General features: G+C 42.8%; 1 protein-coding gene and 1 long non-coding RNA gene across 17 annotated transcripts in view, besides 2 other annotated features; one reads left to right on the plus strand and one right to left on the minus strand.

Annotated features, from left to right (window-relative positions):
• Nucleotides 1–110: an enhancer, noted in NCBI's record as "active region_11174". NCBI's record gives its function as "activates an Ori minimal core promoter by ATAC-STARR-seq in GM12878 lymphoblastoid cells {active_cell/tissue: GM12878}" and the evidence as "EXISTENCE:reporter gene assay evidence [ECO:0000049][PMID:35858748]".
• The window catches only part of CENPN (centromere protein N), a 25,894-nt gene continuing 8,015 nt past the window's right edge, over nucleotides 52–17,930 (plus strand). For 2 of the 8 annotated variants that reach the window (NM_001100625.3, NM_001100624.3), the window contains exons 1-8: nucleotides 52–115; nucleotides 4,768–4,948; nucleotides 6,974–7,019; nucleotides 10,164–10,223; nucleotides 10,596–10,672; nucleotides 12,938–13,114; nucleotides 15,435–15,536; nucleotides 17,553–17,616. In NM_001100625.3, the coding sequence (NP_001094095.2) occupies nucleotides 4,778–4,948; nucleotides 6,974–7,019; nucleotides 10,164–10,223; nucleotides 10,596–10,672; nucleotides 12,938–13,114; nucleotides 15,435–15,536; nucleotides 17,553–17,616 (697 nt within the window). In that variant the 5' untranslated portion in view covers nucleotides 52–115; nucleotides 4,768–4,777. Of the gene's footprint in view, nucleotides 284–4,767; nucleotides 4,949–6,973; nucleotides 7,020–10,163; nucleotides 10,224–10,595; nucleotides 10,673–12,937; nucleotides 13,115–15,434; nucleotides 15,537–15,592; nucleotides 15,713–17,552; nucleotides 17,617–17,930 lie in introns of those variants that run through there. The other 6 variants (XM_006721236.5, XM_047434366.1, NM_001270474.2 and 3 more) reach the window with 6 other exon arrangements.
• Nucleotides 421–560: an enhancer, noted in NCBI's record as "active region_11175". NCBI's record gives its function as "activates an Ori minimal core promoter by ATAC-STARR-seq in GM12878 lymphoblastoid cells {active_cell/tissue: GM12878}" and the evidence as "EXISTENCE:reporter gene assay evidence [ECO:0000049][PMID:35858748]".
• CENPN-AS1 (CENPN antisense RNA 1) overlaps nucleotides 9,579–17,930 on the minus strand; it is a 23,571-nt gene continuing 15,219 nt past the window's right edge. For 4 of the 9 annotated variants that reach the window (XR_007065134.1, XR_007065133.1, XR_007065130.1 and 1 more), the window contains exons 3-4: nucleotides 17,317–17,443; nucleotides 13,130–13,339 (exon numbers count right to left, since the gene is read on the minus strand). This is a non-coding gene — a long non-coding RNA (CENPN antisense RNA 1). Of the gene's footprint in view, nucleotides 9,874–13,129; nucleotides 13,340–15,132; nucleotides 17,444–17,930 lie in introns of those variants that run through there. The other 5 variants (XR_001752279.2, XR_001752278.2, XR_007065136.1 and 2 more) reach the window with 4 other exon arrangements.

Consider the following 17,930-nt stretch of genomic DNA (forward strand, 5'->3'; position numbering starts at 1 on the left):
TGCTTGTGCTCCGGTGGGCGGAGCTTGGAGGCGGCGGGAACTGCAATTGGTGGCTTTGAAGGCGCGGCGAGCGGGAACAGCTCTTGAGGAGTGAGACTGCAGGAGATGTGGGCCGGTAAGAGAGCCCCGGGCGGCACTGGATCGGGCCCCGGAGGGTGTGGGGCCTTGAGGAAGCCAGATCCCAGGCCTCGGGGGTGGCTTTTTCGCAATTGTCGCACGTTGTGAGGCGCAGGATTGGCGCTGGGTCTCGGGCTCGGGGCGAGGAACTACGGTTCGGGCCGAGGTGAGGGGGCGGTGGCGCTGTGCCGGCTGTGACGTCACCTCGCCCGCGGTGGGGCGGGTGGAGCCTTTCGTAGGCTCGCGACTGCGTCAGGGGAGGGCCGTGTGGTCATGTGACCAGGGGCTCCGCTCTACGATCCTGGGGTTGCTTCCTTTCCCAGAGTTGGGGTTTTGCTTTTCTGTCACCTCGGCTTCCGTCGTTTTTTGTCCCTGTACCCTCTTGCGTTGCTCCTCGCATTGCCTGTTGGAGCGCAGCAGAGGTGTGTGGCTACGGGAACGTTACTTAAAATGGATCTTTTTGATCATGCGTTCCACAGATCTTGAGCATCTACTGTATGTCAGACACTAAAACGCTAGGAAGTATAAAGAAAGTTTTAAAATGGGGCCAGGCGCGGTAGTTTACGCCTGTAATCCCAACACTTTGGGAGACCGACGTGGGCGGATCACCTTAGGTCAGGAGTTCGAGACCAGCCTGGCCAACATGGTGAAACCCCGTCTCTACTAAAAATACAAAAATTAACCGGACGTGGTATCGGGTGCCTGTAATCCCAGCTATTTGGGAGGCTGAGGCAGGAGAAGCGCATGAACCCGGGAGGCGGAGGTTGCAGTGACCCGAGATCGCGCCACTGCACTGCACCCTGGGCGACAAAGCGAGACTGTGTCTCCGAAACAACAAAAAAAGGAAAGTTTAAAAATGGTCACGGGGTAAACGTTTACTAAAGGGATTTCCGTCTTAATTGGTGAGACTGAGGGCGCTCTACCAAATTTCTTTAGACTGGCGTTCTGCAAACTTTACCCGGAATAAATCATCTGACGTACTTTTTAAAAGATGCTAAATCTCAAGCCCTCCGTGCGCCCTCCTCACAGTTTAATTTGATAGGGCCCAGGAATCTTCATTTTAACGGGTAGCCTCGTCTGTGGGTTTTTTTGTTTGTTTTTTGTTTTTTTGAGACGGAGTCTTGCTTTGTCGCCCATGTTGGAGGGCAGTGGCACGTTCTCGGCTCACTGCAACCTCCTCCTCCCGGATTCAGGCTGTTCTCTTGCCTCAGCCTCCCGAGTAGCTGGGACTAGAGGTGTGCGTCACGACACCCGGCTAATTTTTGTATTTCTAGTAGAGACGGAGTTTCACCATGTTGGCCTGGGTGGTCTTGAACGACTGACCTCAAGTGATACACCACGCCCGGCGCGCTCCCGGCCCCTCGCCCGTGTTCTTAATGGGAGAGGTGTTGATTTGATGTTTCACTGACTGTTGAACCCCAAACCACCCAGGTTGTCTCCTCAGGCATTCATTCCACAAGTATTTATCAAAGACACATTAGACTGTTCTTGGCCTGATTAGACTTACTGACTATAGTGAGGCAGTTCTGGTCTAGGAGTATAGCTGTGAATAAAAACATCGTCCTGCCCTGGAGCTCAATTTTAGAAACAAGAAAAGTTAAAAAGATAATTTCAGATAGTTCTGTAAAGACAATTAGCAGTGGATGGCCTGGTGCAGAGGCTCACGCCTGTAATCCCAGTACTTTGGGAGGCCGAGGCGGGAGGATCACTTGAGCTTGGGAGTTCAAGACCAGCCTGACCAACATGGTGAAACCCCATCTTTACTAAAAGTAGAAAAATTAGTTGGGTGTCATGGTGCACACCTGTAATCCCAGATACTCGGGAGGCTGAGGCAGGAGAATCATTTGAATCTGGGAGGCAGAGGCTGCAGGAGGCTGCAGTGAGCAGAAATCCCACTACTACACTCTAATGTGGGTGACCCAGCAAGATTCCGTCTAAAAAAAAGGAAAAAAACAATTAGCAGTGGAGAGTGGGGAAGTAACTTTTGGTTGGGTGGTCAGGATAAGTCTGAGGAGAAACCATCTAAGCTAACACCAGAATTGCAAGAAGTCACTGGAGAGAACATGTGCAGGAAGAACCTTCTAGGCAGTTGTAACTGCAGGCACAATGGTCCTTCTCTAGAGATTATTTAAGAGACTAGTGTAGTTGGAGCTCAGAAAACCAAGGAGAGGGAAGCAGGGGCCACGCAACACGGGGCCTTGTAGACCATGGTGAAGGCTTTAGATGGTCCAGTAACTACACAAAGAAACAAATCCGACTCCTGTTTCATGATCCTGATTCTGTTCCTACGACCTTAATTCAGTTATTTTTCTATTTCTAAATGACTCCTAATCCTTCCTCTTTATCTTTGTCTTACTATCATTTTCAGTATATTGTTAAAATACAGTCAACTATTTCTTTTCAGAAGTGGACAAGGATAATTTTTCAGTGTTCAACAAATAAGTCACAGCCAGGACTCTTGTAGGAAGATACTTCTTTGTCCCTGGAATTCCCACAGTTGTGAAGGAAACAGATGACTGACAGGCTTGTCTTAAACACAGATGCCAAGGTCTGTGTGTGCCTTCCTAGAAGACACACTGTTAAGGGACATTAAAGTATGCGGGTGGTACCCTGCATTGTATAAAAATCATGTTTGCAGACCACGCGCGGTGGCTCACACCTGTAATCCCAGCACTTCAGGAGGCCGAGGAGGGCAGATCACTTGAGGTCAGGAGTTCGAGACCAGCCTGGGCAACATGGTGAAACCATGTCTCTACTAAAGATACAAAAATTAGCCAGGCGTGGTGGTGCACGCCTGCAGTCCTAGCTACCTGGGAGGCTGAGGCAGGAGAATCACTTGAACCAGGCAGGGGAGGTTGCAGTGAGCCGAGGTTGCACCACTGCACTCCAGCCCGGGCGACAGAGTGAGACTCTATCTCAAATGAAAAAAATAAATAAATATCATGTTTGCTTGCTTTTTTGTTCTGTATTTGAAGAGAGAGAGAGAGATGCTCACTGGTGTCCCCAAATAAAGTAGCAGACGTGAGATCAGCTGTCACCATTGGCTCACAACTTCTGCCAAAGGAAAATGATAAAAGAGCTCAGAATCTTCCTTCCTTATTCCTGCAGCCGCTAGGTCATTCTTCTGGAGATTATATCCCTTGCCTATTGATAAGGGAGGCACACCAGATTTGGGGCTCAGGACCTTATAGACAATTAAGGAATCTCACCCTCAGGCATGGGCAGGAGAAGTGAGGGAGGAAAGAGCTCTTTGTTCACAGGCGGTGCATTAAAGGACTAAGAGACAGCAATCCACTGCACCACTAGCTCTTAGCATGTCCTGTGGAGTCACAGATCCAGCTGTTTATTCGGTATCTCCATTTGGACTCTCATCTTTATCTTAATATTAACAGATTCAGAACAGAATTACAGAATTCTTGAGCTTTCTCCTGCCTCTCTCGCAGTCTTGGCCGTCTCAGCTAATAGTAACTTTGTCTTTTAGTTCCCTGGTAAAAACCTTGGTTTCATCTTTGGTTCTTTTCTTGATCTAACACCCCACATGTAATCCATCTGGAAACCCCGTGAGTTCCCTCTTAAAAGTGTATCCAGAACCTGACCTCTTCCCCTGCCTCACTAACCTCCAACCTCTGCCCTCGCCTCCTTACACTGCGTTCTCAGTACAGTAGCGAGATTGATCCTGGTAGAAAAGCTAAACAAGAGCATGTCCTGCCTGTGCTCAGCACCTTGCAGAGTGAAAACAGCAGTGATCCCCGCAGTGCCTTTCAAGGCCCTCCATGATGACTGACCTCACCTCCTTCTCTATGCCTCCTTCCTGTCTCTGCTGTCCCCTGACTGGAGGCCACCCTTCCCTGTTCCTCGAAGGCCCCAAGCAGGCTCTTGCCTCAGGACTTTTGCACATGCTGTTCCTTCTGCCTGGAAAGCTCTTCCACCACATGACTCCTTCTCCTACAAGGATTGCCCCCAAGTCATGTTCTCTATGATGCCTACTCTCTCCAGCACTCCCACGCTCAACTCAGCCTGCCAAAATTATTCCATTTTCTCCGGCACTCCTCACTTTTAACATAGTTTGTGATTTCCCTGTTGTTTCTCTCTCCCCACTAGAATGGATGTGCCATACTGGAACAGATGTTTGTCTTTTTGGCCAAAGACATATGTATCCCCAGTGCCTAGAAAAGGGCCTGGCATGCACAGATCCTCAGTAAGGGGTTACATGAATCAGTAAATGAATGAATGATTTATATATCATCACCATCAAAACATCAAAATACTCTAGCCAGAAAAGGAGAGATAGCACTAATTTTTAAACTCTAAAACATTTAAATATACATTAAGGAGAAAATAATTAAATGCTCATGCTAAAACACTGCAAAATAGCTGAAAAAGTGTAAACATTTAGGTGTTGGACCTACAAATCAAAATCCCAGCTAAATATGATGCCGATGGCCAGGCGCAGTAGCTCACGCCTGTAATCCCAGCACTTTGGCAGGTTGAGGCGGGTGGATTGCTTGAGCCTAAGAGTTCAAGACCAACGTGGGCAATCTAGTGAGACCCTGTCTCTATTTTTCATATGTGTATGTGTATGTGTAAATAAAGACAGACAAGTATTGTATTTGGTTAATACTTTGTTGTGCTGTTTTTGTTTTGTAAAAGTGCCAAAGAGATGGATGAGACTGTTGCTGAGTTCATCAAGAGGACCATCTTGAAAATCCCCATGAATGAACTGACAACAATCCTGAAGGCCTGGGATTTTTTGTCTGAAAATCAACTGCAGACTGTAAATTTCCGACAGAGAAAGGAATCTGTAGTTCAGCACTTGATCCATCTGTGTGAGGTAACAGTGTTAAAAATGATGAGCCTTGAACAGAGTGCTACCCCCTTGGGTTTTTCTTTCTTCTATTCCTTACTCCAAAAGAGATGTAAGGTAGCTGCTAAACTACTAGTGAAGTGATGAGGGCTATATACAACTGCAGTGGAAAAAAACCTAATTTTTAATTGACCTTTTCATCTTAAAAGAATGCTTAAAAATCAATAAGATGGAAAAAGTAAATATAGTAGAAAAAACAGTACAAATTAAAATAACGAGCAGTATTTTTCGCAGTATTTTTTTAAACCTATCAAATTATCAAGGATGAAAAGACAACAACACCCAGATGTATTGGCAAACTTGTAAGGAAAGAGACTCTGTCTTTCATGTGTATTTATCTCTTTAATTGCTTATTGTTTTAAAATGTTTTCAGACTATCAGAAAAGTTGCAAATTTAGTTCAAATAATTTTCTTATTCCAATATACCCGTCTCTCCTTCACTTTTATTTATTTATTTTTTATTTATTTTTGAGACAGAGTCTTGCTCTGTCATCCATGCTGGAGTGCAGTGGCACAAACTCAGCTTACTGCAACCTCTGCCTCCCAGGTTCTAGCGATTCTAGTGCCTCAGCCTGCTGAGTAGCTGCGACTACAGGCACGCACCACCACACTGGCTAATTTTTGTATTTTCAGTAGAGACGAGGTTTTGCCATGTTGGCCAGGTTGGTGTCAAACTCCTGACCTCAGGTGATCTGCTCACTTTGGCCTCCCAAAGTGCTGGGATTACAGGTGTGAGCCACCATGCCTGGCCTCCTTTGCTTTTAAATAAATATACTTTTTGACCTAGCAATTCTACTTACAGAAATTTATGATGAGAAAATAATAAAAAATAGGAGGTATGTATAAATATTGATAAATATTTAGTTATATAAATGAAGATGCATTGTAGCATTGTTTTAAAAACAAAACACGTTCACATAAAGACGTGTGTACTAATGTTCACAGCAACATTATTCATAAAAGCCACAAACTGGAAACAACCCAAATGTCCATCAGCAGGTAAACAGATGAACAGATTGTGATGTTTCCATACAGTGGATATACTCAGCAGTAAAAAGGAATGAAGTATTCATAGATGCTAACATATGGATGGATATCAAAATAATTGTGCTGAGTAAAAGCCAGACCAAAAAAATGAGTACACACTTATGTTAACATTCATATAAACCTCTAGAAAATGCAAACAAATCTGTAATGACAGAAAGCAGATCAGCGTTTGCCTTAGGACTAAGGCTTGGGAGGTAGAGACATGGGAACCAAGAAGAGTGGAAGGAAGTGGGCGGTGATAAGAAAGGGACACAAGACTGGACTCAGTGGCTCCTGCCTGGAATCCCAGCACTTTGGAAGGCCAAGGCAGGCAGATCATTTGGGTTAGGAGACCAGCCTGGCCAACATGGTGAAACCCCTTCCCTACTAAAAATACAAAAATCAGCTAGGCATGGTGGTGCACACCTGTAATCCCAACTCCTTGGGAGGCTGAGGCAGGAGTATCACTTGAAACTGGGAGACAAAGGTTGCAGTGAGCTAAGATTGCGCGTTTGCACTCCTGCTTGGGCAATAGAGCAAGACTCTGTCTCCAAAAAAAAAAAGAGACACGAGAAAATCTGGGAGGCAGTGCTGGTGGATATTGTCACTGTCTTGATTGTGGTAGTGGTTTTGTGTGTATATTCATAAGTCAAAATGTATCAAATTGTATACTTTAAAAATATACAGTTTAATGGATGATAATTATACTTCAATAAAGTTAATTTTTAAAAAATCAAAAAGTTAAAAGTGATAAATGAGGAATAAATTGTGAGAGAAGGTTGTGGACTAAGACATGAATCAGAAAGAATGTCCATTGGTTAACAGGAGAAGAGATTGGAGATGGGTTGTCAGTAAAGTACTGAGAATGTGCTAATAGTCTGTTCTAACCAATCCTAAAATGTGTTTTAAACGGGATAGAACCAAACCTATAACCACAGTTACTAAATAATTTGTTTTCTCTTTTAGGAAAAGCGTGCAAGTATCAGTGATGCTGCCCTGTTAGACATCATTTGTAAGTGTCAGTGATTTGTATTTATACTTAACCAATCAGTTTATTAGAGGCAATTTTGTTTCTTTCTTTGTGAGACAGGGTCTCCCTCTGTCGCCCAGGCTGGAGTGCAGTAACGCCATCTCAGCTCACCGCGACCTCTGCCTCCTGGATTCAAGTGATTCTCCAACCTCAGCCTCCCGAGTAGCTGGGACTATAGCAGTGCACCACCATGTATGGCTAATTTTTTGTATTTTTTGCCACAAGGTTTTGCCGTGTTGCCCAGGCTGGTCTCCAGCTCCTGGGCTAAAGTGTTCCTCCTACCAAAGTGCTGGGATTATAGGTGTGAACCGCTGTACTTGTCCCAGAAGCAATTTTGTATATAACGCCTCAGAGTCTAGAGTTCAGGAGACCTTGTTTCAAATCCCAGTATGTCACTCAGCCGTATGTTCTTTGACAAGTTGCATCACCTTTCTGAGCCTCAGACTTCAAGCAGAGATAATAGTACATTATCTACTTCACGGTATTCTTGTTAGGATTAAATGAGGTAGTGCCCGAGAAGCTGTTAGCATGGTAACTGGCACATCAGAAACACAAAGTAAATGTTTGGCTTTGTATTACTCAGGTTGCCAACTTACAACAGCTCAACTTAAAAATTTTCAACTAGTATGAAAGCAGCAGACATTCAACAGAAACCATACTTTGAGTTCCTATACAACCATTCTTTTCTCACTTTCAGTACAGCATTTAGTAAGTTACATGAGGTATGCAACAGTTTATGATAGAAGACTCTGTTGGATGATTTTGCTCAACTGTAGGCTAATGTAAGTGCTCTGAGCACACATAAGGTAGGCTGGGCTAAGCTAAGATATATGAAGGTTAGGTGAATTATTTTCACCTCAAGGTGGATTTATCAGGCATAGCCCCATCATAAGTCAAGAAGCATCTGTATTATTATTAAAGGATTTGAAAATATCTTTCTGAAAATTTGTTCCTATTACAGTGTAGCTTCTCACCTCTCCTCCCTTCCATTTCATTGATTTTTGTCTAGCTTTCCTGTCTGTACTTTTTCAAGATGTCTGTTTTTTTTATCAGAAGGCAGCATAATATAGGGGCTGAGAACACAGGCCCTGGGGCCAGACCTCTTGGGTTCATTTCATGGCTCCGTTACTGCCTCCCTGTGAGCCCTGGAGGAAGTTGGTTAACATCTCTGTGGCATACCGACATCTCTGGTATTATCATTTGACCAATCTGTATAATAGTGATAATATCACATAAGGTTATGGTGAGGATTAAATAAGAGTACATGTTAAATACTTAAAGCCTGGTATTAACTAATTGCAATCATTATGTATTAGCTGTTTTCTGTAAGTGTAACAAAAATTATCTTTATTAATACTTTGCTCCAACTCATGGCATGCTCCAATTCAGCTATTGCTGAATTTGGAGCATCTGCCTCTGATTTAGTTTGTCTCATTTTCAGTGGTTGGATTCTCTCAAGCATAAAAGGTGGATCCACACCATTCCCATTTCTCATACATTGATTCAAAAATTCATTAAGCACCTGGCTGGACGCAGTGGCTCACACCTGTAATCCCAGCACTTTGGGAGACCAAGGCAGGTGGATCACCTGAGGTCAGGAGTTGGAGACCAGCCTGGCCACTATGGTGAAACCCCATCTCTACTAAAAATACAAAAAATTAGCCGGGCATGATGGCAGGTACCTGTAATCTGCTATTCGGGAGGCTGAGGCAGGAGAATCATTTGAACCCAGGAGACAGAGATTGCAGTCAGCCAAGATCACACCACTGCACTCCAGCCTGGCGACACCGTGAGACTCTGTCTCAAAAAAAAAAAGGAAAAAGAAAAGAAAACCTGGTCTGAAGTCCAGAGGCACAGACAGAGGTCAGTGCAGAGACAATTTTAAGCCAGAAGGATGAAGGGATATGGTTGAACTTGCTAACTTCCTAGGTCCATTTCTACTCCAAGACACTCCAAGTTTGTAACTCCTGAAAGGTGTTTTCTGTCATATACTTATTCATTCATTCGTTCATCAAACATATACTGAAGCCTGGTGTGGTGGTGTGGGACACTTGGGAGGCTGAGGCAGGAGGATTGCTTGAGCCCGCGAGTTCAAGTCTAGCCCAGTTAACATAGTGAGACCCTGTCTCTTAGAAAAACAAAACAAATATTGAGTGCTTGCTTTATGCCACGCAGTTAAGTTTAGACCTGGGACTACAACAGTGAACAGGTCCCTCATTTCCATCAGAGTCTAACTGGAAAGACAGGCAGTGTACAAATGAACATCTAAATAAATAATGTGGCTGGGCACGATGGCTCACGCCTGTAATCCCAGCACTTTGGGAGGCCAAGGTAGGTGGATCACCCGAGGTCAGGAGTTCGACACTAACCTGGCCAACATGGTGAAACCTCATGTCTACTAAAAATACAAAAAATTAGCCAGGCGTTGTGGCAGGCATGTGTAATTCCAGTACTCGGGAGGCTGAAGCAGGAGAATCGGTTGAACCCGGGAGGCACAGGTTGCAGTGAGCTGAGATTGCACTATTGCACTCCAGCCTGGGCAACAAGGGTGAAACTCCATCTCAAAAAATAATAATAATAAATACACACATACATACATACATACATAATGTGACATCAGGTAGTGATGAGTCCTCCGACAGGAACTGGGAACTAACGCAGGGTGTTTGGGGTAGGGTGATCCGGGCGGGGACTACTCTGAGTAGAGAGCAGAATGAGGTGGGGAGTAGGGTGTGTAAGGAGCTAGGAGAAGAGGCTCCAGGCAGAGGAACAGCTGGCTCAAATGTGGGTCCTGTGGGGCACAGCATTCCCTGTCGTGCCAGATTAATGTGGCATTCTGTGGAATGGAATAAATGGAATGTGGAAATGGAATAAATGGGCTAACATAGAATAAATACCAAAACTCAACTGTATTATCTAAGTCAGTTGAATTAAGTAATTATGATTTGCTTTATTTATATGAAGTACTTTAATCCATATAAAGTTTATATTTTGAATACAAATCTGTATAACTCAATTTGTGAATTACTGTTACTTTCCCCAGTTTTAAAGTATAGAAATATCTATAAGCATATTACTTCAAAGTTCTATGATATGCTAGTAATAAAGCTTTCTTCCCTCTCTCAGATATGCAATTTCATCAGCACCAGAAAGTTTGGGAAGTTTTTCAGATGAGTAAAGGACCAGGTAATATTTTCTGTTTACAATTGAATATTTGATAGTTTGGCTTGGACTCAGGAAGCAGAGGTTACAGCGAGCTGAGATTGCACCACTGCACTCCAGCCTGGGTAACAGAGCAAGACTCTATATCCAAAAAAAAAAAATAGCAGTATGTTCCTCATTTCTTTCAAAATGAGGTGATTATTTATTACTCACTTTTGGAAAATGAGAAACATACTTCTTGGTGCCATGTCAGAAGTACTAGCACCATTTGTGTGATTTGATCATTATTACTCTGGAATTATACAAAATGCTTAGTTTCATGGTACTTTACGAATGTATTTACTGAAGACATTGTAGCTCCCTTGATTTTTCTTTATTTTTTTTTCACTTTGGCAGGTGAAGATGTTGACCTTTTTGATATGAAACAATTTAAAAATTCGTTCAAGAAAATTCTTCAGAGAGCATTAAAAAATGTAAGAATAAAATTCATCTTTTACATAAAATTCAATGTCATGACGTCTGTGCACTTAAAATTTGCTACTATCATAGTTTTTTTTTAATTTGTAAGAAATTCAGTTAGTAATAGTTCATACGGTTCTACTCCATATCAGAAACACACTGTAAATATTATGAAAACTTCCCTTTCCTCTCTCCTGTCCATTCAGGGCCTGAGGCTTCTTTTTCCAGAGGAGCTCAGTCCAACAGAGCTTTCTGCAGTGATGGAAATGCTCTGTATTGGCACTGTTCAGTTCAGCCACATGTAGCTGCTGAGCACTTGCGGCTAGTGTGACTGAGCAGCTGAATTTTTAATCTTTTTTTTTTTTTCTTTCCTTGAGACAGAGTCTTACTCTGTTGCCCAGGCTGGAGTGCAGTGGCGAGATCTCGGCTCACTGCAACTGCCTCCTGGGTTCAAGCAATTCTTCTGCCTCTGCCTCCCGAGTAGCTGGGACTACAAGCACGCACCACCATGCCCAGCTAATTTTTGTATTTTTAGTAGTGATGGGGTTTCTCCATGTTGACCAGGCTGGTCTCGAACTCCTAACCTCAGATGATCTGCCTGCCTCGGCCTCCCAAAGTGCTGGGATTACAGGTGTGAGCCACCGCACCCAGCCTGAATTTTTAATCTTTTTAAACTTCAATGATTTTTTACATTAAATAGCCACATGTAGCTAGTAGTTCCAGTAATAGTCAGTGCAAACCTGAAGCACCCTTGATTTTACAGATGTTTTTGCTTTTTTAATGTAAAACAAAGAAGCTATTCAGAATAAGACAATCTTCCATTCAAGGCAGTAGAGGCCCACTGAGCATGTGACTGGGTCCAAGCTCTATGATGCTCACTCAGGAAAGTCAGACAGCTGTGTGCCGCCATACCCTGGACTGGGGAGACTTTCTTGTCTCCTGCACTGAGGGAATTTGGAAAAGCTGCTAAAGAATGAGCAGAATTTGCTAGTGCCACTGTAACAACCCACTTTTCCTAGAACAAGATCTCAGAGGGAGGAAACAGAGACGTGGGCAAGCTGAGTGCATCTCACTCAAGTCCCTCCTTTCTAGGCTCAGAGCTTTAAAGGGAAGCTGAATCAGAGGGGAGCTGATAATCCAGGAGCAGCCTATTAAATTCCAGACCAATTGGCAACCATATTTAAAAGTTTGGAAAGGCCTGTATTTTATCCATGAAGTGGATTCAAGGTAGTACCTCTGGTCTTGCCATGTAACATTCTTTTAGAGGAGTTTTTAGCTTCTGAGCTAAATGCATAAGAGCATTAGGAATAGTATATTTTCAAGCCCATTATTACATAGAAATCTTCTTTAAGCCCATTATGACATAGAAATCTTCTTTTTCTTCTTCTTTTTGTTTTGTTTTTGTTTTTTTTTGGAAACGTGGTCTCACTCTGTTGCCCAGGCTGGAATGCACTGACATGATCTCGGCTCACTATAGTCTAGACCTCCCAGGCTCAAGCCATCCTCCCACCTCAGCCTCTTGAGTAGCTGGGACTATAGGCACATGTCACCGTGCCTGGCTTTTTTTTTTTTTTCCGGTAGATACTGAGTTTCACTATGTTGTCCAGGTTGGTCTCAAAACTCCTGGGCTCAAGCGATCCTCCTACCTCAGCCTCCCAAAGTGCTAGGATTACAGGCATAAGCCACAACACCCAGCCTAATTACATAGAAATCTTACTGTTAAAGTTTATAGCGTGTGCTAGGTCTGGGTTAGATGCTAAGAAGGCTTCATTATAAAACAAGTATCTCATTTGTAAGGCTGCCTTACCTCATAAATTCTTACGTAAGGAGGAACAGTTTTCAGGACAAGCCCAAGAAATTATTGAAAAAACAATCACCTCTACAAAAAAAAACTTTTTTAAAAAAATTAGCCAGGCATGATGGCACGTGCCTGTGGTCTCAGCTACTAGGGAGGCTGAGATGGGATTGCTTGAGCCCAGGAAGTTGAGGCTGCCGTGAGCAGGCTATGATCATGCCACAGCACTCCAGCCTGAGCAACTGAGCAAGACCTAGTCTCAAAAAAAAAAAAAGAACTGAAAAGGATTTTTTTTTTTTAAAATCACAAAATGTTTTCCCAAAGATTCTCAAAATACTCATGAAAAGCAGAAAAGACTGCCAGGTCTCAACCTGCATACAAGAGTATAGGGACATCATTGTTCACCCCTAATAAGCACCTGGAGTTGGTGCCACAGTGAAATTTTAATTAGGAAATTAAGCCTTTTTTTTTTTTCTTTAATAAGGTGACAGTCAGCTTCAGAGAAACTGAGGAGAATGCAGTCTGGATTCGAATTGCCTGGGGAACACAGTACACAAAGCCAAACCAGTACAAACCTACCTACGTGGTGTACTACTCCCAGACTCCGTACGCCTTCACGTCCTCCTCCATGCTGAGGCGCAATACACCGCTTCTGGGTCAGGTATGGAAAAAATTATTACAAGCTATAATATTTTATTATCCTATCTCAAAGGTCTATATAGATTTTAACTGTTGAATAAGTATTTGATAGAGAATACTAGGCCAGGTGCAGTGGCATGTACCTGTGGTCCCAGCTACTTGGGAGGCTGAAGTGGGAGGATTGCTCGTGCCCACGAGTCCAAGGCTGCCGTGAGCTGCGATCACAAGACAAAGCAACACCCCACCTCTAAAAAAACAAAAAAAAGATATAGAATACCACATGTAATTCTTGTTCTCCTAAAATAAGAAACAGAGTGTTGTTATCTGCAGATGGGAACATGGCATAAGATATTAGATTGGAGCTATATTTTATTGTTTTTTGATCTAGAAATAATGCATACTTAATATAAAAAAATGCAACCGATACAGAAGTCTCTAAAGATAAAAAGTCTTCAAAGCTTCATACCCCTTTTCCCTATTCCGTTCGTTCAAAATAACTACTGTCAAAGTTTGCTATTTCCTTTGACAAGATGGTTATTAGAAAAGCCAGGGTAGGCCAGGCGCGGTGCTCATGTCTGTAATCCCAATACTTTGGGAGGCCGAGGCAGGTGGATCACCTGAAGTCAGGAGTTTGAGACCAGCCTGGCCAACATGGTAAAACCCTGTCTCTACTAAAAATACAAAAAAATTAGCCAGGCGTGGTGGTGGGCACCTGTAATCCCAGTTACTTGGGAGGCTGAGGCAGGAGAATTGCTTGAACCCGGGAGGCAGAGGTTGCAGTGAGCCCATATCGCACCATTGCACTCCAGCCTGGGCAACGAGAAAGAAACTCCGTCTTAAAAAAAAAAAAAAATTAACATAACATTTCCACGTGGTTACAAATGAATATACCTCATTACTTTTTCATAATTGTATAATTTGCTTATTAATGAACATTATTTTCATTTGTAACCATTTCTCCCACATTCCATACACAAGGAGACTGCTTTCACATAAGATGTAGCCTCTGTTCCGAGCCTGCTTCTCTTTATGGTTCTGCCTTTAATATCACAGGCTTCCTAGCATCTTTCCCCAAAGTTAGTTCTCCCTAAATTGGCCTGGCACTTGCTGCTACCACTGTTAGCATTCACAACCTCAGTGGCACCTTCAATTGGTTCCAGAGCTGCCACATCAGCTGGTTGTAGGCGAGCAGCTCCACCATCCTGGCTGCATCATGTCCTGTCACTCCACAGCAGAGTGGGGTGGAGGTGCGGTGTGGAGTACCAAGGACTCCACTGTTGTGACCAGGCGAGCCCTAGGTAGTAAATGACTACTTGCTTGTCATTTAAGTTTTTTGGTGGTTTATTGAAATGGCAAAGACTGCTACTCACTTCTATTTCCTTAAAACACTTCTTTACATTTGGGGTCTCCTGCTCCATGATACATAGTGGTCTTTCATCCACTTATAGCCAGGTGAGTACACCTTGCCACAGGTAGTTTAAACATTACCCCAAAGGCTAATGTTCTTTTTTTTTTTTTGAGACAGGGTCTCACTCTGTCACCCAGGGTGGGGTGCAGTGGGGCGATCTTGGCTCACTGCACCCTCCACCCCCAAGGTTCAAGCGATTCTCCTGCCTCAGCCTCCCAAGTAGCTGGGACTACAAGCACTCACCACTATGCCTGGCTAACTTATTTTTCTATTTTTAGTGGAGGTGGGGTTTCACCATGTTGCCCAGGCTGGTCTCAAACTCCCGACTTCAAGTGATCCACCTGCCTTGGCCTGCCAAAGCGCTGGGATTACAGCCGTGAGCCACTGCGCGGACTAATGTTCATTTCTATTGTGTATCTTAAGGCAAACTTGTCTGTTCTCTAGATCAGGTTAAACATCTTATCCTATCATAGTAATTCTGTTTCAGTCTTCTTTTCCCCTAATGACAGGAAACTCTTATGAGCTGTATTCAATACACACTTATTTCTTCAGTATTTGCCAAAAAGCATACATATCTGCGTTTTTGTATGGCAATATCATTATGGTATTAGATGACTGATATTCAAAAACAGTAACATTTTGAGTATTTATTGTTTATTCCAAAGTCTGAACTTGATTTATTAGTAACTCCTAACTTTAAACAGGATCGCTTTTCTAAGAAATGATACAAAAGACTGCATTTATCAGAGTATTAATGCCATTAACCACTTTGTTTTTGAAGCTCAGTAACAGGCTATCAGATGTTTTTCTAGACTTCTTTTTACACTTACGGGGAAACTATTCCCTAATTGCAGCTCTTACATTTTACTTTGACAAGTATTATAAACACAGAGGCAGTAATCCTAGTAATAGTCTTGCAAATTTTCATTTCAAGGCGCTGACAATTGCTAGCAAACACCATCAGATTGTGAAAATGGACCTGAGAAGTCGGTATCTGGACTCTCTTAAGGCTATTGTTTTTAAACAGTATAATCAGGTGAGCCAATCAGTGACTCTCTTTAAAGGTAAATCTTTATTTTCTCTTTGACACAGGAGTTAGAAGCTACTGGGAAAATCTACCTCCGACAAGAGGAGATCATTTTAGATATTACCGAAATGAAGAAAGCTTGCAATTAGTGAACATGAAAGGAAAATAAAAATTCCTCACAGTCATCTTTTTATAATTGTATTGTGTTTTATACCACTCATTAGTCACTGGAGTCTGTGTTGTAGATCTCAGCTTCCAAATCACCTGATCACACTAGAATTTGTTTTCTCTTTAGAGAAACTTCACATTATCTTTTGAAGCTAAATATATTATTCTATGAAACAACAGAGAAGTAGAATTAACTTTTTGTCCCATCACTCAAGCAGGTTATACAGGCACTGGAATTAAAGGGAAAAGCAGTGGTTTTTTAAATCCCAAAGTTCATTTGTTAAAATAATTTGAATGTAATGTTCCCCTCTAATGACAAATACAGATCTGTCCTTACAGATGCAGGGGTGTTTTTTCAAACTATGCATGGCAGATGTCTGCATATGTGTTGACACTCCTGTGAGTGGATTGTTAATGCTCTGTGTATATCTTTGAGCCACTAGAGATGTTATACTTCTGTATTTTCATCTGTTCTAAGCAGAAAGAAGTGACAGCTCTCTGCAAGCAGTCCCTCTTTAAGGAAAAACTAACATTAAGAAGTTATATCATGAGGCCAGGCACAGTGGTTCACGCCTATGATCCCAGCACTTTAGGAGGCCAAGGTGGGAGGAATGCTTGAGCCCAGGAGTTTGAGATGAGCCTGGGCAGCATAGGGAGACCACATCTCTACAAAACAAAAAATAAATAATATATATTTTTTAAACTTAGATCATGATTTTCTTCTCTAGCCATCCCCTCCTACCTACTACCCTCTCACCAAATTGATATAAACTGTTCTGCTATAATACGACAGTAGTGGCCAGGCACCATGGCTCATGCCTGTAACCCTAGCTCTTTGGGAGGCCAAGAAGGGCAAATCCCTTGAGCCCAGGAGTTCAAGACCAGCTTGGGCAATATGGCGAAAACCCGTCTCTACAAAAAATACAACAAATAACCAGGCATGCCGGGCGCGGTGGCTCACACCTGTAATCCCAGCACTTTGGGAGTCCGAGGCGGGCGGATCACAAAGTCAGGAGATCAAGACCATCCTTGCTAACACGGCGAAACCTTGTCTCTACTAAAAATACAAAAAAATTAGCCAGGCATGGTGGCGGGTGCCTGTAGTCCCAGCTACTTGGGAGGCTGAGGCAGGAGAATGGCATGAAACCGGGAGGCAGAGCTTGCAGTGAGTGGAGATAGTGCCACTGCACTCCAGCCTGGGCGACAGAGTGAGACTCTGTCTCAAAAAAAAAAGTAGCCAGGTGTGGTGCCGCATGCCTATAGTCCCAGCTACCTGGGAGGCTGAGTTAGGAGGATCTCCAAAGCCCAGGGAGACTGAGGCTGCAGTGAGCCATGATCATGCCACTCACTCCAGCCCGAGCAACAGACTGAGATATTGTCTAAAAAAAAAAAAAAGACAGTGGCATTCTTACGAAAATCCACGTTGTCAAGCACAGAACTATAAAAACAATGGATTCAGTGGGTGAAGGTAGGAGAAGGGGTTCAAGAGATTCAGACTTACAGTAGGAAAGTTATTTTTCCAATCTCAGTAAGTTTTTTAGGGTTATGAAGATTGAGCACTGACGACGCTGAAATACCACAGTGCAAATGCTTCCGTAGATTCCCTGGGCTCTGCACTCACCAGATCCATTTCTATGATAAAGCACAGAGCTCCTCAAACAGAACAGTCGAGTTGCAGGCTCAGCAGCCTCCTTGTCAGTGTCCTGCTCAACTCAGCCAACTCAGCCAGGATATGGCTTTGGATCTTTCTGTTGGAAAAAAATAAACATTTGACATACTTTAATATACTAAAAAAAAAATTAATATCTGTACTTCAAGATGTCAAGATTAGTAAAATATTCACTTTTTTTTCCCTAGACCTTTGAAACTCACAACTCTACGACACCTCTACAGGAAAGAAGCCTTGGACTAGATATAAATAGTACGTGTGTGTTAATATGAAACTGAATTTTGGAAATGCATCATTCCCTTATAGATTTCTTTCACTTGGTAAAACGTGTATAGTAGGATCCTAATTTAAAACTTTTATTGTTTTCAGAAAAATTGAAAAGTAAATATCTGTTGAAGGAGGAAAGCTAATCTACCATAGTTCTCCTTTAGAATTTACTAGAATAACAATAAACAACAAAACAATAATTACAAAAACAAAAGTTAGCTAATAGTTGTTGAGCATTTCTTGTGTGCCAGGCACCACACTAAGATGTTTATATGTATTCTTTCCTTAATCTTCACAGT

Source organism: Homo sapiens, chromosome 16 (genome assembly GCF_000001405.40).
Source record: "Homo sapiens chromosome 16, GRCh38.p14 Primary Assembly".
Taxonomy (NCBI): Eukaryota; Metazoa; Chordata; class Mammalia; order Primates; family Hominidae; genus Homo; species Homo sapiens.